This window comes from Homo sapiens, chromosome 18 (genome assembly GCF_000001405.40).
Source record: "Homo sapiens chromosome 18, GRCh38.p14 Primary Assembly".
Lineage (NCBI taxonomy): Eukaryota > Metazoa > Chordata > Mammalia > Primates > Hominidae > Homo > Homo sapiens.
In genome coordinates, this window is record NC_000018.10 from 10,998,571 (window position 1) to 11,021,385 (window position 22,815).

A 22,815-nucleotide genomic window follows, 5' to 3' on the forward strand; every position below is an offset into this window, starting at 1 on the left:
CACCTAATAAATATCCACTCATAACTCATGCTAACTCCAAAATTATTTCCAAAAGTAACCCAGACAATAGATTTGCAAAATAAGTAATCTATGGCTATAATGGCATAATACCAAACTATACACTTATATACTATTTTTTCTGTGATTATTAGAATGCCAACAGAATAAATTTGATGTTAATATTAACTGAGAAAATTAACAATAAGGAAAGGAAGTAGAGTTTTTAAACAAATTTTAGCATGTTTTATTCATACATTTTATTTATTTCTGATATATTTTCTCAAATACAGCAAAAAAAAAAAAAAAAAAGAAAGATTGTCACTGCGTAGATTCCAGTCAGGAACTGGGATTTAAACAAACATTTAAATCTAATGCCTCATTTACTCTACTTCTGAAAGTAATTCAGAGGCTATTTCCTTAGCCAACATTTCCCATTCTGTAGCTTTCAATGATTTAAATGTGGCATGCAAATGTGGAGGATCCATGGTTCTTTGGAGTGTGCCAATTTTTGTAAACTAAGTTTGAAATTTTCCACTTAAGAAACAATCCACGCCAAAAAATGTCAGAAATTTTTAAAGGAGAACTCTGAGCCTCCTCAGTGGAAAGGCAACAGCAAAAAAAAAAAAAAAAATCAGTTTATAGATAAGTTAATGTATTGGATACCAAATCTGCGTAGAGTTTGAAGAGTTCTGTATTTCAAAGTCTTCTTCAGCTCACCTCCAAGTTGATATTTTGATCTTTTATTTACAGCTCAATTAGAAAAACCTAGTAAAAGCACAGTTGGTCCTCCATATCTGTGGACTCCATATCCAGTAGATTCAACCAACCATGGATGAAAAATATATTTTTTAGAAAGATGTTTTAGTCTGTGCTGAACATTCACAGACCTTTTCTTTTCTTGTCCTTATTCTCTAAAAGAGATAGTATGACAACCATTTGCATTGTATTTATATAGTTTTTTGTAATATAAATAATCTAGAGATTATTTAAAACATATGGGAGAACGAGCATGGGTTATAAGCAAATATTATGCCATTTTATATAAGACACTTGAGCACCCAAGGATTTCAGCATCTTGGGGGATACTGGAAGCAATCACCCATGAATACTAAGAGACAACTGTACTCTGCAGTTCATGCACTTGGACTACATTAGAAAAAATTTAGAAAAATTGTCTTAGAAAGCAAGTATTTATATTTAAAGAATTTCCCACAATTTTATGCTCCAGGTGGAACAAATAAAAAGCAAATTGATACATAAAACTGGGAATTTTCTTCTAAATTCTAAATGAGATTAAATACAAACACCTATGAGCTGGGAAGAATGTGCTGGGACTTCGAAATAAACTCAGAAGTCAACCTTGTAGGTTAAGTACATGAAGTTGCTAATACCTAACCATGTTGACTTATAAAAATGGCCATTTCACTGGTATCAAACTAATACAAATGAAGAGAAGGAACACATGTCTACTTTCTATTCCATTGGAAATCTCATTCAAGCACTCTTCAAAACCCAATTTTGCTAAAAGGAGTGAATCACAGGGAAGCACTCTGGGAACATCACAAAAGCAAATGGAAGAATGAATGATAGCATCATTTCCCCTCGAGTTCCTTCCACCTTCATATACTGGACTGAAAGTTTCCACTGCATGCCTTCAAGTGGGATATGGAATTCCCCACTGTGCCCCACCTCTAAATCCTTCCTTGCAAAAGCTCAATTTTCTATTTCCAATTTTGTATTGGCATATTACGGAGCCAAAAGAAAGTAGGTTTTTTCCTTTTCCCTCCCATTTGGAACTATCGTTTATTACCCTGGCTTTATATCCTATTATTTAATAACTTTTAAAGGGCTGTAAAATCTGAAAATGTACCTCACAATGAAACTGATATAATCAGAGAGGAAGACAGTGCTGCAGAGTATAGGGGAAGGATAGTTCAGGGACAAGGGAAGAGGACAGGGACCTGCCAGCATCACCAGTCGCCACTCCTTTCCTCCTTCTAAATGCATCTTCATGAGCAGGGCTCATTGCTTCTACAGCACAGTCCCCTGCACCCCTGAACCAAAGGGATCTCTTTCTGACTCCTACACCGCATGCTGTATCTGACATTTGGGTATGTGTACCTTGTAATATCAGTGTCTGTCCTAGGCTGGCTTACCAGGAAATGAGATTCTGAGATGGAGACTGAGTGCAGGATGTTTTTGGGGTGGCTCCCGGCAGGGACACCTATGGAGAGTTCTGGGAGCAGACTGAGGCAAAAGAGAAGCTGAACATGAGGCAGTGGCAGCAGAGCCCTCAGCCAGTTCTATAGGGAGCTCTGGAGCCCTCCAGAACTGTCTAGAATTGAGGGAAAGGTGCTGAGCCTCTGTACCCAAGCCCACCCCCAGCACTGACCAGAAATTAAACATGGGCTGTCCCCAGACATGAGTGTTACCTGGGCAAGACAGCTTCCTACAGTTAAAGGCAATTATTGGAAAGGAACTCAGCTGTTAGGAGTCATGAGTCAACCACCCCTGGAACCTGGAAGAATATGTGTCTTGGTCATGGAGGGGATTGTGTGTCATGCCACAGAGCCATTTTGGTCATCTTGATCTGGATATTGATTGTCCTCAAGCAGATGTAAGCCTCCTGAAGGCAGGGCTGCCGCTAGCATATGGTCTCCAGCTCAGAAGGTACTTTATGGCTTATGGTGGATTTTTATGCATGGGTCATCTGGCCACGATTTCCTCAGCAGCTAGTAGAGAAGGCCAAAAGTCAGCACATCTTGCTAGGCATGCACCACCGAAAAAGTTATTCCTCTAGGGAACTTCGAAGCAAACCAGTCACCCTGAGGCACAGTGAGAGTGCAAGTTCTTTCTGCTGTCGCTCTTCTTTGACCCTGCTAGAGATGACTTCACTGTCAGACAGTGAAAATCACGACTGTGATTATCCTCCAGTCCCCTATGTAGCTGTATTTTGTTATGTGTTGTGTGTGCACATTTTCCAGAAATCAGAAGTAAGGATTTGCTCTTCTAAAATCTTTTGTCAAGCAGGGTGTGGTGGCTCGTGCCTGTAATCTCAGCACTTTGGGAGGCTGAGGTGGGCGGATCATCTGAGGTCGGGAGTTCGAGACCAACCTGGCTAACATGGTAAAACCCTGTCTCTGCTAAAAATACAAAAATGGGCCATGCACAGTGGCTCACACCTGTAACCCCAGCCACTCGGGAGGCTGAGGCATGAGAATAGCTTGAACCCAGGAGGCAGAGGTTGCAGTGAGCTCAGATTGCACCACTGTACTCCAGCCTGGGTGATAGAGCGAGATTCAAAAAAGAAAAAGGAGAAAAAGGGAAGGAAGGAAGAAGGAAGGAAGGAAGGAAGGAAGGAAGGAAGGAAGGAAGGAAGAAAAAAAGACTTGGAAGGAGCCAAAACTTGCAGCAAAGTTGGAAATTCTAGATCTTCTACCTGTAAGGGCCAGAGAGTAGATATTTTAGGCTTTGTGAGACACATAGTCTCTGTTACAATGACTCAATTCTGCTACTGTAGCAAATAGCCATAGAAAATACATGGACGAATTAATAATGATTATAGTCCAATAAAACTTTAGTTATGGACACTAACATTTGAATTTCAGATAACTTTCATGCGCCACAAATAATTAATATTTTTCTCTTGATTTTTTCAACCATTTACATTCGCTCCTAGGTCATACAAAATACAGCAGTGAGTAGAGGCTGGTTCAGTCTATAGGCTGTAGTTTGCTGATCCCTGCTCTAGCTGGAGAAAGCATACTTCAGAGTAAAATTTTCATCAGTAAAAAGAAACCAAAAGGACTGTGTTTTGATATTCAAGAAATTCCCTAGGAGGCATTCCATTGATGATATCTGAGAGTCAGTCCTCACTTATGGGGAACAAACAAAGCACAGTGTTGACCCATTTGCAACACATCGTAAACACCAGCACTCACTGTGTGCATTCACAGGGCTCAGCTCCCTGGAGAAGACCCCACACACACTTTCACTTTCTCTAATTTCACCATTTCCAGAAGGAAATTGGAAAAAATATCAGAGCTCAATTTGTAAAGATATGCCTAATATTCTTAATATTATGAGACAGTTGCTTTGTTGCAATGTTTTACTGGCGGCGGCGGGGAACACATTCAGGCAGAGATGTGTTAGTTCACACAGAACCCTGTGTAAGCACACAATTCCCTGCTAAAGTCTGAAAAGCTGAACTATGGAAAGCAGGCCACATTGGATAATCCAATTTCAAGCACCCCAATAAAATGGCTTTTCTCACACATTTTCATGGTCCTCCATGGGCAGGTTCAGCAGAGAACAGACCAATAGAAACATCCAATGGGGATGTAAAGAATTTTCTTTAGTAGAATCAGTTGATTAACCAGTGCCACTCAAACAGAGGAAGTGAGGCAAGAGGCGCTCCTGCTACCAGAGGCTTCCTCCTTGAATGACCAACATCCGTTGCATGAGGTCAAGGACAGCCTTAAGCACAAGGAGATTCTAACCTGGGAGATGTCCAGTGACATGTCTTTGCCGTGCCCTCCCAGGTCTTCCTCCAGCAGGCAGGATGGCACTTGGAGTCTGGGTGATGCAGTGAGGTTCCAGGACGTGTGTGGTATTAACTGTAGCACTAAGATAAGTTTCCATGTAAAACAGAAACCTCTGGTCTAGGATGTGTTTTCTTTTGTTGTTTGTTTGTTTTGTTTTGTTTTGTTTTGCCAATTCACTTAACAAACCACAGTAAATCCTCACTTATCATCAGTAGGCTCCTGGAAACTGCGGCTTTAAGCAAAACGATGTATAGCAAAAACAATTAAACCATAGTCGAGTTGATCTAAAGAAGAGTTAAATTCCTAAGGCATATTTCTGGTCACAAAAACATCACCAAACTTCTAAATAAGGACAAAACACTTCTATATTAAACACCTGAAATAAATGTGAACTACACATACATTTAAGAAAGATTAATAAAAGCAAGTCAGATAATAATTTACCCACTTATTCTAGTTCAGGGTTGCAGGGGGCTGGAGCTTAACCTGGAAGTTCAGGGCACCAGGCGGGCATCAGGCGGGCACCAGCCCTAGCCAGTACACCGTCCCATCTTGGGCACACTCACATACTAGCACACAGACTGGGACCATGTGGACACACCAATTTACCTAACATGTCCAGCTCTGGGACGTGGGAGGAAACCAGAGTACCTAGAAAAATCCCACACAGACCTGGGGAGAACAAGCAAACTCCACATGGGGGTGGACCTGGAAACAAAGTGATTTTTTCCCCTCATTGACATTGGAACAAAACAATATTCAACTACATTTTTCAGGGACCTGCTAAATAGGACTAATGGAAGAGAGTTAATAGTCACTATTTTTGTTGCTTTTACTTTGTTTTCTAACCCATGTTATGCCTTCCACAACTCTGACCCTAAACAAATGATGGTTTCCATGTTTTTCTGCAAAGGCCTGAGAAGGGGTAGGGAGTAAGTGTGGGCCTGCCTGCAGAAACTCCCTGACTGCAGACATTTTCTTTCTGCAGGAATTTCCTGTCCCATGCCCTGTTCGTTCCCAGGGATCTATGAGAAGCACATGGGTTAGAGGTGTGAGTAGTGACACCCCTGAGGACTGTGAGGGGGTCCAGGTGTACCATTCCTGAGTCCCCCTGGATGGAAATACTGCAGACTTCAGAGAGGAACAGAAGAGAGAGGAATTAATGTAGATATTTACCAGACACAACTTCCAAATTTCCAGATTGGGGGCTTGGCCCTACTCCATCTCTGATTCTGGGATTTCACACGTTTCTCAGACTGAATTGCTGCCCCCACAGCCCCCGCCCCATATTTCTTTCAAAGGACTACATATCAACCCATCTATCTCAGGGAGTAGCCATGTGGGAAGAAAAGGTATGAGTAATTTGTTTGATGATTCAGAACATGAAAAGTATGGTTTAATGTTCACACAGTTGCTCTCCACCCAGTTGCCTTAGGGAGTTAGTTTAGAACGGATAAGGAAGGGAGAAAACGCAAAATAAACCAATAATATACAAGAAATGGCTGCTTTGTTGATGAAGCTGTCAAAATCAGAAGGGAGATTCTTTTGTGAAGAAATGTTGAGGCCAATGGATCTCCTTGCTGAGAACTTCAGTGCTCTTGATAATCTATTGTTCAAAGGAGGAAAAAAGCATCCTACAAAAATGTGTAATTTCCTAAAGTGAATTGTCATGACATTCAACAAAATGCAGTTTTGTCAGAGAAGTCATTTCCATATGTTTCAGATAATTGATTTGTGCGTTTCCTACTGTGACCAGACTGTAAGCTTCTTGAGAGCAGGAGACAAGTGCCATGCCCCTCTGGACACTCCTGAGTGTCTAGCATGGGGCTTTGCACATAAGATGTGCCATTAAATATTGACTGAGAGGCTATCATAATAAATGCAAATCACAATAATGAAAAAAGGTGATCCCTATGTGATGATTTCAATATATGTTGGCAAGAACATTCCACTTCAAGCCAACAAGAAGTCCTCAGACTTCTTGTTATTTTATTCAGCCAGTGTGCCAAATTCTGTCCCAAGGGACCTACAAATGGTAATGAATGGGGGAAAAACAATTAGGCTATTGAGTCCATTCCCCTTCACATCAGGCTTCTTCCCTGTGGAGCATTCTTCCAGCAATTACCTAGAGATGTCTCCTGTACAGAGTTATCCTGCAATTCCTTTAGGAAAATAATAAATTTGACCCTGATACAAAGTTCCCACCATGCTACACTTCATTCTCTTGTGCCCAATATAACTTTGCGTTTGTCTTTTATTTTTTTCCTTTCACATATCTTTGGAAGAAATGTAGTTTAGCTTAACATGTATTGAGTATCAGGCATGAACAGTTACAGAAAGGACTTACTGCCTCTAGTTCACGCAGATTGAGGTTCAGAGCCTTGATCAAGGAGCGGTATCAGGGATGCTGGGGGCGTCATTACACACCTGAGAGGGTGCTCATAACAGACAGGTGTAGATTAGCGACTGCTAATGTGCTTCAGCCTGCTTCCCATCTTCCTCAAGCTCCTTCACTCATGCATTCCCAGTGGCGTGAGAGGCCCAGCTTAGCTGGCCGGGAGGAGGGACTTTTTGTGCTGTTATCTTCTTGTTTTTCCCACAAAGAACACACACCAGGTTACTATGACTAACTGCCTTGTGACCTGCTGTGTTTATTCTCCTTAACCCTGAACTGTGCTTTCATGCCCTGGAAGCCAGGCCAGGCAGCTGTCAGCCTGCATGGCCTTCTGTGTGTTGTTTGTATGTACACGCAAAGAGCAGTGACTCATCTACAAAGGGAGTCTCCAGTAAAAGGCTGAGATTATCCTCCACTTCTCGTTCCATCACATTTTAGGAAACAAACCTTCTTATGAATTTGTCTTCATTGCTATAATGATATTTTTTCATTTATCTATAAACTGGCAAGAAGACAATTCCATTTCTCTCGTTGGATCTTACATGCCTGTCTCTTTCCCTTGGCTCAGGTCTTGGAACAGATTTGGACCTCTCAGGAAGACCCCCGGTCATCCAAGCTAAAATGCGAACCATCTCCCCAACTGCTTTTTATCACAGTACCCTGTTTTGTACACTTCACCACTTCACTACTTGTAATTATCTTTTTTTAATTGCTTACTTTCTCAAATGTAAGTTTCACAGGTGCAAGGATTCTGTTTGTCTTGCTTTGTTACCACTGAATTCCCAATGCAAAGAAAAGGGCTTGGCAGGCAGCATACAATAAATATTGATTGAATAACTGAACGAATGAATGAAATATATCAGGTGAAGCTCATAAGTCATATGTTAATCAGCACAGCCTTGTGGCTTAAGATCTTAGGGAACACAATGTAAAATCTTTAGCTTTCATGGGGGCAAAAGGCTGAAGGAAGCAGAACATTAGTATATGGCAAAGAAGGGAACAAGCACTCTTTGCCTCCTCAGAGTTAAATTTATGGAGATCCAAACTTTACCTCGTATTGGTCTATTAGCTTTCCATTTACCCTCCCGCATCTGCTATGAAACACAGCAGCCAGCCCAAGGCTACAAATCCCTCCTTCCCATCATCTTCAAGTCTATTCAGTCCATTCTTTCCTTTCTTTCCTCCTCCCCTGCCTCCCTCCCTCATGCTCTTCCTCTTCCTTCCTTCTTTGGTATATGAATCTTCAGGTGCATCCCTTTCTGTCTTATCTATTATTTGACTATGAAGTATGTTCTTAGTAAAAAAATTATTCCCTAGTAGTCTAAAAAATGATCTTAAAGTATCCTTTTCATTATATTACCTATATATTTTTTATTTTTAATTATCATGGGTACATAATAGTTTGACATTTTTATCAAGCACGTGATATTTTGAAGCCAGCATACAATGTGTAATGATCAAATCAGGGTAACTGGGATATCTATCACATCAAACATTTATTAATTCTTTGAATTGGGAACATTTCAAAACTACTCCTCTATTTATTTTGAGGTATACAATAAATTATTGTTAACTATAGTCTCCTTATTTTGCTATCAAACACTAGATTTTATTCCTTCTATCTAACTGTATTTTTGTACCAGGGCTTCTATCATTTAGAAGATGAAAATGTGTGCTGAGATTTAAAAAGTATTCTCAAAAACAATGATGAATTGAATTCCCAGATTTAGTCATAACAGACTCACTTAAGGAAAGTTAATAAATATAGCTTTCATAAAGTAACATTTGTTAACGTAAATGCTTTAAGTCTCTTTTCTAGCATAAAATATAGGTTAAAGAAATCAAAATGCATAGATCTTCAGTGTACAATTCAATGAGTTTTAGCAAATGTATGCATATAGGGTTCCACCACGAGAATCAGGATCTGGAACATTTACATTACCCAGAAAGTTCCTCATATGCCTTTCACTCAGTCCTCAGCTCTTCCAGAGATTTAAGGATGTCAATAAGCCCTAAGTATCATAAGCACAAAGAAAAAAATCACTCGTAGATGCAGTATAGTCAAATTACTGAAAGTCTTAAGATGGAGAGAAAATTTTTAAAGAAGCCAGAGAAAAAGAATACATTAAGTAAGGGAGGACAATGAAAAGAATTGATGACTAAAATCATCGAAAACAATGGAAACCAGAAGATGTTGGAACGACAGGTAAGAATGCTGAACTGAGGGGGGTGGCAAAAAATTTCAACCAAAACTTCTGTATCTAGCAAAACTATCCTTTGAAAATGAAGGCAAATGTAAATATACTTTCAGACAAACAAAATCCAGAAGGATTTACAGCCAAAAGGAATGCTAAAAGTTCTTCAGGAAGGAAAACCACACTAAATAGTAACCCTGATCTACAGGAAGAAAAGAAGAGCACAGAAATGACAAATATGTGAATAAATATAAAACATGCGCCCCACCAGCTGAAGTCAGGCAGAGTCCTACTGGCTTCCAACCTCCTTCAAAGGGCACATCTTTCTCCTCACTTGACAAGCACTTCTGTATTTGACAAAAGTGCAATATATGTATATATGAGGAAAACATAAGCCTGGGAATCCTTTTACCAATTTTTTTCCCATCAATCACTTGGTGGGCAGCAAATTCATTGAATTTGGAAATGTCATCTTAGAAAGGAATCTTTTTGCTAAATTGTCTAGATACTGACCAAACTACCTTTGCCTCTGAGCCACAATTCATGTTCCAGCCACAGCAGCAGCCTCTGTGCTAATCATGCAAGATGCTTGTCTCTGCATTGAAAATAGGCCCATGACACCGTAGCACCAGTTACTGTCCAATCAAGATATATCAAAGCAAATCCCAAACATATGCCCTTGTCTTAATTAGTTCACACTGTCAGCTGCTAGTTAACCCTCAGGACGACCTAACTTCCTGGCCAACTGCACATGTCGTGGACCACCAACGACTTTCCCAGTTCCCAGATTGCTTGCCTGTGTGAGCCTGTCTTTGGCTATCCACTAGGCCCACTCTTGTTTAGTTCACTGGCTTCCAAAACATGACTCGGCTTCTGACCCTGGGTAACTGATGTCTCTGGACTTCTAGACCTGACTGTCTAGATTTCAAATTGCTTTTGTGGTCCAAAGTTCCATCTTCTGCATATCTATTTATCATTTCCTCATCCATTTTAACATTTGCTGACTGCATGCTATATGCCAGAATTATGTCAGGTGCTATGGTGACAGACGTAAACAACACCCAGTCCCTGCATTGGGAGCCCTCAAGTTTCAGAGGGGGTGACAGGCCAGCTAGGTGATTTAAGGGTAAGCGGGTGTTCTAAAGGCTTAAGTTTCCAAGAAGTGTGTGTTGTGCTATAGCAGCAATTAAAGATTATAAATATTTTGGAGTCCTCCTGACATCTATAATAATAAATCTTTCAGCTGATTAATTCAATAGGGGAAACAGACGTAGGAATCTTTTTATACAATAAAAATGGCATTTTTACTGACTTCTCATATTATCCTTTGTACTGTCTTGAAGATTGAATTCTGTTACTTAACTACGTACGTGATTGTGTTCAAATCCTTCAGAATCTCTGTGACCTACCCTCTTGCTTCATACAATTGGTGATTGTCTCAGGGTAGGAATCCTGGTAGGTTGCTCTTGCCACGTCACTGTTATTTGCCTGGGCAGTGTATCCCAAGGACTCTTATTAAATAATTTTCAATGAATTGCTGAGTCTCTGAAGAGTGCTGGGCTTCACAAGCCCTGATGTGCATTGAAGCCCCTTGGGAATCTTTAAGAATAGGATGGATGTCCAGACTCCACCCCTGGAAGTTCTGACCTCATTTTTCTGGGGTGGGGGCGAGATCATGGGTACACTGTAAAAGCTCCCTCGGTAATTCCACAGTGAGCCAGGGCTGAGAACCACTGTGCTGGAGATTCAGCTGAAGGGAGGTTGAGCCCAGCTCAGCTCATGGACTGGTTGAGGCGCGTGTGAGAGCAGCGTATGAGAGTAGCAGCACCTTTCTTCTTATTAAACATTTAAGTAAGTCTCACTTTTCCAAGATCATTACACTTCTTTGGTATCATACGAAGTAATAATATATGTGGGCACTATAAAGATAAATGTCTTGTTATGGGTTAAATCGTGTCCCCTTCATATGCTAAGTTCATATGTCAAAGTCCTAACACCCAGTACCTCTGAATGTGACTGTCTTTTGAGATAGGGCCTTTAAAGAGGTAATTCAGGTAGCACGAGGTCATAGAGGTGGGCCTAATCCAGTATGCCCGGTGTCCTTGTAAGAAGAGGAGAGTAGGACGCGGACAGGCACAGAAGGGAGACCGCATGGAGACACAAAGAGAAGACAGCCATCTGCGAGCCAAAGAGAGAGGCCTCAGGAGAAACCAAGCCTCAAGACACCTTGATCTCAAATATCCAGCCTCCAGAATGGTGAGATAATAAACGTCTGCTGTTGAAGCCACTCAGTTGATGGCATTTTGTTATAACAGCAAGAGTAAATGAATACGTACAGGCAATTGCATGAAAAGAAAAGCAGAACTGTGAAGGAGCTCCTGAAACCTCAAGATTTTCTTAACCAATAGATTCCTAATCAAAGACAGATTTCAAAATTCTGTGTATCTTTAGTTCAATAACCATGTACCAAACACCTACTAGGTACTGGTATTGTGCTAGATGCTATGGATAGCACCTGTCTTTGAGTAACACATAAACCAGAGGGAAATTAAAGCCCTTAAAGCATAATCACTCCATGCTTTGGGTTCCAAAGTTGTAAAATAGCACCATCCAAAATGCTGCCTGTATGCTCCACAGGGTCCCTGTGAGCAGATGCTGATTTAATGCACTCAACATGTTTTGAGAAGTGTAACGCACTGTACAAAACCTGGGAATGACAGACACCTAATCACACAATCCTCTAAGAGCCAAGTCTGACTCTGCAAACTCCACACGGGTCCACAACACCACTAGGAACAGAAATGAAACAACAAACCACGTCTGCACTGGAAGTGCACCTGACTGAGTCACTCATTGGAAGGGTGGGTACTGGTTAAGCTCCTTATTTATTCTCTAGTCCTGTTTTTTGTTTGTTTGTTTGTTTGTTTGCTTTGTGAAAAACTCACCAACTTGAAATGGGGGGCTCTGAGAAAATGGGATAGGCAAAGATATTCAGGAACATCCAGGGGTCATTAAATAATAAAAGAATCCGAGTATATCAAGCCATTACTTTGCCCTTCATGGCAACTTCCATGAGGACGAGGCCCATGTTTATTTGCACATATTTACATATTTAGCCCAGAGAATTACATGGCTCAGAGAGGAAGCCCAGTCAATATTTGTTAAAAGAATAATTATATTAGTGTATGCTTAACTTTCTAATGAATCTACTGCCTTTCAGCTTCCTTGCTAAATGTTAGATTAGTTTTTCAATGTGCTAAATTGATGTGTTCATGCGACATCAGTTCATTGTACATTTTCAAAGCACAAGTCCCCATGCTACGTGGTGTGAAAACACAAAGAAGGCATGGTTGGCCCTTAACCACTCTATAATTTGTTACAATCCAATCCTTCAGTCATAACACACAAATAGCCTCCTAAAGACTGCAATGGGACCTGGAAACTTTTTGAATATTTTGTCTTTCTTTGATATTTTAGTTTTCAGATAAAATCTTTTCTTTCCTTATTCAGTCATCTATTCAACAGAACTTATTTACATTTAATCTGTGTCCTACAATTGTATTTTTTAAAATAGTCTTAATTAAATTATATTGCCAATAATTAAAAAATGTGATGGCATAAAGTTTGCAAATATCAATATCAAACTAGTCTCTCTTTGTAATTAAAATCTACTATGCCGTGTTTGACTTTTATCTCTTATGTAAATTGAAGCCAAAATGCATGTTAATCCTTCTCCTTTGGTGTATATTTATGCTTAAAAATATTTAGTGTCTTCCCTCCCATGGCTAACATAGCTAATAATGTCCTTATTACCTCATGCAGTGTTCATATTTTAAAATGCTGGATAATATTGCTTTAATATTCTTAAATAGAATTGAGTAGAATCCTATTTTAAATAGAATATAATGCTTTACAATGCTCTTTTATATCTATTTTTCTATCATATTCATTTTTCTATCTCTTAACTGCTCTAACTTTCTAAAAAAGACCCACAACCTGGAGAACCCATTCCATTGCCTTAGAGGAAGTCTCCACCAAAAAGGCAGAGCTGCCCCTTGATGTTCAGTTCCCAAGGAAAATTAGTATTTTCCATAACTCTTGATATAGCTATGTTCCACCAGAACCACATGACCAGGTGCAGTGGCTCACGCCTCAAATTCCAGTACTTTGGGAGGCCAAGGTGGGAGGATCACTTGAGCCCAGGAGTTTAAGGCTGCAGCGAGCTATGATCACATAACTGCACTTCTGCCTCGGCAAGAGAGCAAGATCCTAATTCTAAAAAGAATTTTTAAAAATATAAACATCTGTAAAACCGAAGAAAGGTAGGTCACCAATGGTGTTTATTGTCTTATCCCTTTGCAAAAGCGAAAAAAAAAGTTTTAGGGGAGAATTTAGCAACTTGTGCCCTATCTTTGAAAGCAAAATTTGAAAGCAAAATATTTTCAAGGGTATATAAGACTGCATGATTGTTACTTATAGCTTTCAAAAATCATTTTAGCATCCTCTTTAAGTTCCATAAGTGCTCCATTATGACATCTAAATATCAGCTAAAGTATTTACCCAAAATGTCTGATGAGCAGCATTTTTTTCTCATGTACAATATTTCCATAAACTAAAGGAATACATTTAAAATAAGAAACTGATAATCTAAGTTCCAAGCATATAGGACACTTAGAGCAGTTTAATGTTGATCAAGTATCTAATCTCCACAAAGACAATGTAAGAAGCCCATTATAGTTTTCTGGATTCTAATAACTTTTAATCAAATTTAATTTCAATTTAACAATTACATAGATGTAAACACCTCTTTGGACAATTTAAATGTAAATGTCTGGTTTTCACTGTACGCTCTTGGGCACCAGCTCAGGTGCTGATTTCGATTGATTTTTTTTTAAACCCTCATTATGAGAATATGCAAATAAAAGCATCTTTAAACCAGAAACTAGGCAGCCATCCTTCTCTATCTACTAGTCTGTAAACCAATGTAACAGTTGATTTGACTTTACATTGGCACTGATTTTCAGGGCATTCTTTTAATATATTAAGTTATTCATTTAGGCCTAGCACAGGGGCTCATGCCTGTAATTCCAATACTTTGGGAGAGCCAAGGTGGAAAGATCACTTGAGCCCAGGAGTTCGAGGCCAGCCTGGACATCACAGTGAGACCAGTCTGTACAAAAAATTTAAAAATTAGCCAGGCATGATGGTGCACACCTGTGGTCTCAGGTACTTTGGAGGCTGAGGTGGGAGGATTGCTTGAGCCAGGGCAGTTAAGGCTGGAGTGAGCTGTGACTGCACTACCACACTCCACCCTGGGCAACAGAGTGAGACCCTGTCTCAAAAAAAAAGTTATTTATTCTAAAATTTTCACATCAAATATTTTATGTCTTCATTTATGTAATTCCCAGAACCTGTGAATATGTTACTTTACAATGCAAAAAGGACTTGGCAGATGTGATTAAGTTCATTATGTTGAGATTGAGAGATGATTGTGGACTACCGAAGCAGGCCCAATGAAATCTCAAGGGTATTTACATGAGAAAGAAGGAGGCAGGAGAGAGGTGGCCTTGTGGAGAAGACTAGACCAGTCATTGCTGGCTTTGAAGACAGAAGGGGCCAGGAACCAAGGAGGACAGCTGGCAGCTGGAAGGGGCAGCCTGCAGAAAGAAGTCCAGCCCTTGACTTTAGCTCATTTCAGACTCCTGACCCATAGAACTGTAAGATAATACATTTGTATTGTCTTAAGCCGCCAAGTTTGCAGTAATTTATTACACCAGCAATAGGAAAGTAATACAATAAAGATTTATCAACACTTGATCTTAATTTCACCGTTCTATCAACTCAAATAACTAATTCAAGGTCATCCACATACCAGAAACACATAAATTTTTAAACAATTTGGGAGGTTGTGGTAGAGCAGATGGACCAGCCGCTGCTCCTACCAGCATTCCTGTGCTCACTCCCTGGTGGTGAAAAATGAGATGCAACATTCTAATTCATTAGGAACATTTAGAGTCCACCTGGATGGTCTCATGTGAGACCTAATAAGAAACTAAATGGTCCTTTGATGTGGTGAGATGGGAAACTCAAACACCAGGAGATGCCCATTACAGAGGCTTTTAATGAGCTGGAGTGGTGCCCGAAGATTGTGCTGTTCTAATTCTTAAACGTGTCATTTCTCCTAAAGTAGAGGTCGTTCAAATACATAGTTCCAAAATCCTCAGTCAAGACATTACCGAGGGATACAAGACAGCTAATGAGACGTTAGAGACCTTGCAATGGGGCTGAAGAAACCGAGAAGAATGAAAAGGTAAAGGGATGGTTTGCTGGGTCATGAATGTAGACACTGTCCACCCCGTCCTCTGGGAAACCTGCAGCATCTGCTGAGCGTTACAGCTCTGAGGCACCTCCACTTGCTGTAGGAGCTAGGGAAGTTCAAATGACAGCAATCCAGGGCCCCCTCATTCCTTAGTGGCGGGCACGTCACCCTGGGTGGGACAGCGATCTAGGGCCCCCCTCATTCCTCAGTGGGGAACATGTCACCCTGGTGGGACAGCGATCCAAGGCCCTCTCATTCCTCAGTGGTAGGCACGTCACCCTGGGTGGGACAGCGATCCGGGGCTCCCTCATTCCTCAGTGGTGGGCACGTCACCCTGGACAGGACAGCAATCCAGGGCCCCTCATTCCTCAGTGTGGAGCACGTCACTCTGCGTGGGACAGCGATCCGGAGCCCCTCATTCCTCAGTGGGGAACATGTCACCCTGGGTGGGACAGCGATCCAGGGCCCCCCTCATTCCTCAGTGGTGGGCATTTCACCCTGTGTGGGACAGCGATCCAGAGCCCCTCATTCCTCAGTGGGGAACATGTCACCCTGGGTGGGAGAGCGATCCAGGGCCCCTCATTCCTCAGTGGGGAACACGTCACTCTGGGTGGGACAGCGATCCATGACCCCCTCATTCCTCAGTGGGGAACATGTCACCCTGGGCGGGACAGCGATCCAGGGCCCCCCTCATTCCTCACTGGTGGGCACTTCACCCTGTGTGGGACAGCAATCCGGGGCCCCCTCATTCCTCAGTGGGGAACATGTCACCCTGGGTGGGACAGCGATCCGGGGCCCCCTCATTCCTCAGTGGAGAACATGTCACCCTGGGTAAGACAGCGATCCAAGGCCCCCTCATTCCTCAGTGTGGGGAAGATGTCACCCTGGGTGGGACAGCGATCCGGGGCCCCCCTCATTCCTCAGCGGGGAACATGTCACCCTGGGTGGGACAGCAATCCAGGGCCCCCTCATTCCTCAGTGTGGGGAAGATGTCACCCTGGGCGGGACAGCGATCCATGACCCCCTCATTCCTCAGTGTGGGGAAGATGTCACCCTGGGCGGGACAGCGATCCGGGGCCCCCCTCATTCCTCAGCGGGGAACATGTCACCCTGGGTGAGACAGCGATCCATGACCCCCTCATTCCTCAGTGTGGGGAAGATGTCACCCTGGGCAGGACAGCAATCCGGGGCCCCCCTCATTCCTCAGTGTGGGGAAGATGTCACCCTGGGTGGGACAGCAATCCAGGGCCCCCTCATTCCTCAATGTGGGGCACTTCACCCAGATCCGGGGCCCCCTCACTCCTCAGTATGGGGCATGCCACCCTGGCTGGCTCTTCCTTCTGTCTTCCTTCTCTGTGTGCTTCACCAAACCTCCCTGATTTCATGGAGAGCTCAAAAGAGAATATTCTCTGGCAATAAAGATGGAAGTTAATGGTAATTAACTTACTCACATCTGCAAAGTCCTTTTTGCCCTATAAAATAATATGTTCACAAATTATGGAGATTAAATAAAATATTTAACCTGAAAATTTTAGAATATATCAATAATATCATGTTTTAAGAGAACGCCTTGATAATCAGTGCCAAGGTAAGGTCAAATCTAAAGGGGTGGGCCCCTTTCCTGCTGCATTTGCTGGGCTGGTTGACTGTGAGGGAAGGGACACATTTCTATGTACCCTAAGCTGCAGAACAGGAACGACTCTTGCAGCCCTGGTATTTATACTTAAGATCTGTTTATTTGCATAGTGCTCTATGGTAGACTCGAATTTCTTATGGAAAACAATAAACACGAACACACACAAAAAACCCTTTAAGGCTGACACTTTAAATCAAAACTGTTCACATGCACACATGTTCAACTTCATGTTTTAAATATTATTTTGAAAATGAAAACTTTCTAAACGTTTTTGTAAGGCTTCTTTGTTTCAATCACAATTTGCAAATCAACTGCACGTTAGTGAGAAATAGCTTGGGCAATCCTGGTGACATTCTCCCCTTTTCCTTGTTCTCCCTTTTCACCCTGGCCTCCTTCAGCCTCATTCTTCCTCCTTCTCCATTGCTCCTGTAGACCCAAACCAACAACAGCAGGACCTCTTATTAACCTCTGTTAATACCTCAATTTAGCAAATGTAATGAGTACTGTGGGTAAGAGGGAAGGAAATGAGCCCTTTGACATTCACTCTCTTTGAAACTGTCATCCCACAGGGAAAGAAACAGGCCAAGAGTGGCCAGAGTATGTAAGAGAATGGGATGACTGTGGGCAGAATCACAGGAGAGACACAGAATGTGGCGGTAGAGACGGTCAGAGCGAAAAAACAGGCACAGAGCAAGGACACAAGGCAACATCCAGAGGCAGAAAGGAGGCTGGAGGGCACTGACAACACAGAGGAACCAAAACCCAGACAATTCCCTTCAGGGGCCCCAGAGAGAAAGTGAACCCCTAGGAACCCCCTGCAAAGGGTGGGTATGAGGGGGGTCGGGTTAAGCGGCTTAACAAAGAGGTGTGCCCGAGAAATGCAATTAGTTCATCAAAAGTAAGTAACGAGTTACTCATTTAAACAAGTGATAACTCAAGGTAAAAAGAAAACAAATGCTGGGATTCTGAATACAATCCTAGAAAAGGCAAAACCAAAAATGCACAAAACAGGTACATGGTGTTGAAGAAATCATGTTTCATGATGAAAAACTCCATCAAATAATGTAATGTTTTTTCACTGGAGGCAAATTCCTTCCCAGTTTTCATCCCCATACATGTGGATTTGATATATTTATTTAGATTTTTCTTCTTAATGCTCTTGTTGGAAAAACTCCATCCTTTTGTTATTTCCTTCTCCCCTAATAATTGCTTTCTGCAATTGTTTATTTCATTATTTACTTGGTCCTGCTGATGTTTAAACATGGAGTTGGGAGAGACACTGACAAGCTGAGGGAAGTTCAGAGGAGAGCACAGGATTGAAGGGTCAGGGTTAGAAACAGTCTCAGGTGGAAGAACCAGGTACACCAGCCTGGAGAAAACCCTCATAAGAACGTGGTTCATGCATTCAAACATCTAAAAGAATTTCTAGGGACGAGGGATGAGACTTAACTTTGAGATTTTTCAAAGAACATAACTTGGACACGTTAATGAAGTCACAAAGATGTGTTTTTGACCTCTACGGTCAAAAATGTCTAATTGTCAAATGGATGGGTTGCCCTGGAAGTCCAACTGCTTCTTACATTACTGGAAGTGTTTTAGCAGAAATTAAGTGATATCTTATTAATGGTAATGTAGAAAACTTAAGCATTAAGAAGAGAGTTCTTCAAGACGTAACCTCTAATGTCCCTTACAATTCTGAAAATCCATGGGTTTTTTAATACTCTAAATAACCACAAATGACTTGCACCATAAAACATTTCATTACAATAAACACAATCTTTATGAAAGCATGAATGCCTTTTTTTTTTGAGATGCAGTTTTGCTTTTTTTTTTTTTACTGGGTATGTATAATATAATTTCTAACATAATATGTGCAGGTAATATCTATTTCAATCATTCCAGGGATGGAAATCAAGCTATAAAATTTCATACCCATTTATTTTCTCAGAGTTTATGGGTGTTGTACTGCAGAATGGTTCTTCTGTATAAAAGAAATCGTATGCCAAAAACAGGCATGCTCTTCCCTCTGCCTGGAACATTCTTCCTCAGGGTCTCCGCATTGATAGACTATTTTAATCCTCAGATGGAGACCTCTTCTTTTGAGCTCAGATTCATATCTTGATCTAAGTGCTTAGGCATTGTATTAGTTTCTTACGGCTGCTCTAACAATGTACTACAAACTGAGTGGCTTAAAACAACAGAAATGACTTCTAATCCCAGTGCATTGGGAGGTTAAGGTGGGAGGACAGCTTGAGCTCAGAAGTTCCAGGCCAGCCTGAGCAACACAGTGAGACCCTGTCTCTATTAAGTAATAATAATAATAATAACCAAACAAATAAAAAACAGAAATGTATTGCCTCACTGTTCTGGTGGCTAAAAGTCTGCAATTAAGGTGTCAGCAGGGCCCTGCTCCCCGAGAAGGCTTTAGTGTAGAATTGTTCCCTGCCCCTTCCAGCTTTGGGTAGTGGCCGGTCATCCACAGTGGTCCTTGCTTGCAGCTGCATTACTCCGGTTCCTGCCTCAGTCATCGCATGGTGGTGGTGGTGGTGGTGGTGGTGGTGGTGTGTGTGTGTGTGTGTGTGTGTTCTCTCTTCTTAAGACACAGGCATATTGAATTAATGGCCCACACTACTCCTTTTCTTAACTTGATTGCACCTGCAAAGACCATATTTCCAAATAAGGTCACATTCTGAGATCCTGGGGGTTAGGACTCCCAACATGTCGTGTGTGTGTGTGTGTGTGTGTGTGTGTGTGTGTGTGTGTGTGTGTGTGTGTTGAAATAAAGGAAGAACATGAGCTTGGATCAGACTTAACATATGATTCCTGATCTGTTGGCAGGAAGATTAATCAGAGTTTGACGTAATTGTGGTGTCTCATTTATGGCCAAATTGTGAATCCCGCTGAAGAATCGCCAGCAGCCACTGAACGGTGGGTGACACTACTGTGAACACACATGTATGCCTGGTGGGACAGCTTGCTCCTAATAAAGATATTTCTATTTTGTCTTGTCCATTTAATCTGACATCTATGATTAGGCAGAAGATGCATTATTGAGACAAGGAACAGAAATGATGTCTCCTTCCTTTTGGAACCCCATGAAGAGATCTCATTTTATTTTAAGGATGAGTGGATATGTGAGTCCACTCATACCCACATATCTTTTTGAGGTATACAATTCTACCCATAACAGATATCTCAACCACAACATGTCTAAAATGAATCTCTTAATTCTATCCCAAAACACTTCTTCACCTATTTTTCTCCACTTTAGTAAATGTCACCACAATCCATCACAGGTGTTTCGTGAGTGTGTGTGTGAGATCAACCCCAAAATTCAGGACGGAGCCTTGATTTTTTGTGCCCTTCATAGTCCACATCCAAGCCACCAGCAAACCCTGCTGGTTCTTACCTCCACGATGTAACTTACATCCAATCCAGCCCTTCTCCACTTTCCACTGATGTCTCCATTGACGTAGGTCCAAGGCTACCCCAATTCTACCTTGCACCACAGAAGGCAGCAGCCTTCTAAGGGTCCTCCCTGTTACTTTTCCTTCCTGATCATGAACTTTTCATATGGGAACCAGAGAGATCTTTTAAAGACATATGTCTTGTCACCTAATCCGCTACTTAAAATGCTTTAGGGCTTCTCCTAGACTGGAAAATAAAATCCTTTATGGTGTCTGCCAAGGCCCAGGCTGCCTACCTTTCCAACCTGGATATCAGTTCATCCCCTACCATTCACACTGGCATCCTTTTGGATCACTGGAACAGGTAACTCTTTCCTCTCATCTGGGAGCTTTTGTACTTTCTGGTGTGGTAAACTCATCTCCAATTCTCAGCATGACTGGCTGTTTTTCCCCCTTTATGTTTGCACTGAAGTGTCTCCTACTTAGAAAGGCCTTCCAGGACTCCTGCACGGAAGACAGTTTTCTAGTTTCTCTTGTGACCTATTGAATGGCCCCACTCTGGGCCCCCTTGTTGCAGTGTTTTATATTGATGCTCTTGTCATCCTCAGGCTGGACAGAGTGCACTTACCCCCCTACCCCAACACACAAGGGAGCAATAAAGGCTGATTTTTGTATGCCACTGAGATACTGTGATTGAGTGTTACAAAGCAGAAGGCAACTGATATACTCTATCTCATCATCTTGTTTGTTTTCTTAATAGTACTAATGACAATCTGTAATGAAATTATTGAATTGATTGTTTATTAGCTCTCACTACAGAATAACTCCATGGAGACAAGAGGCATATCAGCACCTTGTCTGTCTCCAGTACTGGAGGCTGTGCCGAGCACATGTACAATAAGTGTTTGTGTAATGAGTGCATGAACTCTCTTGGGGATGATTTTATCTATTCTTCTGACCCAATAAATCTTCTCTTTAAAAAAATTGTATATGAATTAAATTAGAAACTTAAGCTTCAATTTTCTAATTTTAAAAGTTTGGGATCTGGGGAGCGATTTTTAAAAAAATAGTCACACAATTCTTTCCTCAGCAAGAAAAGGCAACACAGAAGAGACCACTTTTAAAAGATGAGATTGTGACTTTTAATTATGTTTTATGCAATTCCATAGTTTGTAATACTTGACCTCAGCCCTTGTCTGTCTGATGGGGTCCATTAACATCTCAGAATCACTATCCTAGCTCAAAGCCTCTGATGCTCTTGCTGATTCCACAGTCTTCACAAAATGACTTCCTGCAATAACTTTTCTGCTTGCTTATACTGAATTGGCACCTGGGGTACAATTACTTCCTGTCATTAGTTCAAGGCAAAATGCAAAATTAGGTACTTCTGATTTGCACATTTGCAGACTAGTTGTTTTCCTGTCAATACCTGGCACTGATGGACTTTTACTGATGTATTTTTCTAGAAAAATAAACACTCACAGCTCTTGGGGCTGTGGACAAGATCATAGCAGCCAACTACTGTCTAAACTCCCCAGTAATTGCAGAGTAGTGTTCTGAAAATATGAAAATTACATGCCACTAGCCTTTTGCCAACCACTAAATAGAAGTTAAGTGGAAGGGACAGGCAAAATGACACCTTCTATTTCACAAAGTGAGCTCTTTATTTTTAAACAATTAGCTGGTCTCACTAAGCTAATCCTTTGCTGAAACCTGAAGCCTGGCAGAGAGCTTTCGGAATACTTGACATTCGTTGTTTTATAAGAAAGTTACTGTTCTGCTACTGTGCTCTTTCATCTTTCACTTAAAGTTATTTCTTAATTATCTTCCAAACTGAAAAACTCAAGAAGTAAACAACCCCTCTCCCCCATAAATCAAAGAAATATAGAAAGTGAAAGGTACAAAAAGCAGATGCAGCTTAAAAACTGTTCCACTGCCTTAAGTCGACATTCCTGCTCAGCAGAAAAGCACTAACCCTCATGGAGTCACTGTAGGAAGTGACTTGTCTGGAGCTAGGAAGACGGATGCAAACTCCAGGGGCCTCACAGGCCTGGACTATGATTCTCTTCCGTTACATCATGAAAGAAACTCTAGTCATCTCCACCGGTTCTCCAAACCACACCATCTCAACCAGCTCAAAGTTACAACCTAACTCAACAGTGCTAGTCACAGGTGTCAAGGAGACAGCTAATCTCCCTGGAAAGAACTCCCAAACCGGTTTTCCATGGACCCAAAGTCAGTGTGGTGTTCTTACTTCCTGTTTTCTAGTCTCCTCTATTCTGAAGAAAACATTTTCTTTTTCCTTCTACAAAAGCATCC

General features: G+C 41.5%; 1 protein-coding gene across 11 annotated transcripts in view, besides 2 other annotated features; it reads right to left on the bottom strand.

Moving 5' to 3' along the window:
* PIEZO2 (piezo type mechanosensitive ion channel component 2) overlaps positions 1-22,815 on the bottom strand; it is a 479,323-nt gene that overhangs the window by 328,324 nt on the left and 128,184 nt on the right. The gene's annotated exons all lie outside the window — the stretch shown is intronic.
* Positions 6,885-7,374: an enhancer, noted in NCBI's record as "active region_13090". NCBI's record gives its function as "activates an Ori minimal core promoter by ATAC-STARR-seq in GM12878 lymphoblastoid cells {active_cell/tissue: GM12878}" and the evidence as "EXISTENCE:reporter gene assay evidence [ECO:0000049][PMID:35858748]".
* Positions 11,729-11,948: an enhancer, noted in NCBI's record as "active region_13091". NCBI's record gives its function as "activates an Ori minimal core promoter by ATAC-STARR-seq in GM12878 lymphoblastoid cells {active_cell/tissue: GM12878}" and the evidence as "EXISTENCE:reporter gene assay evidence [ECO:0000049][PMID:35858748]".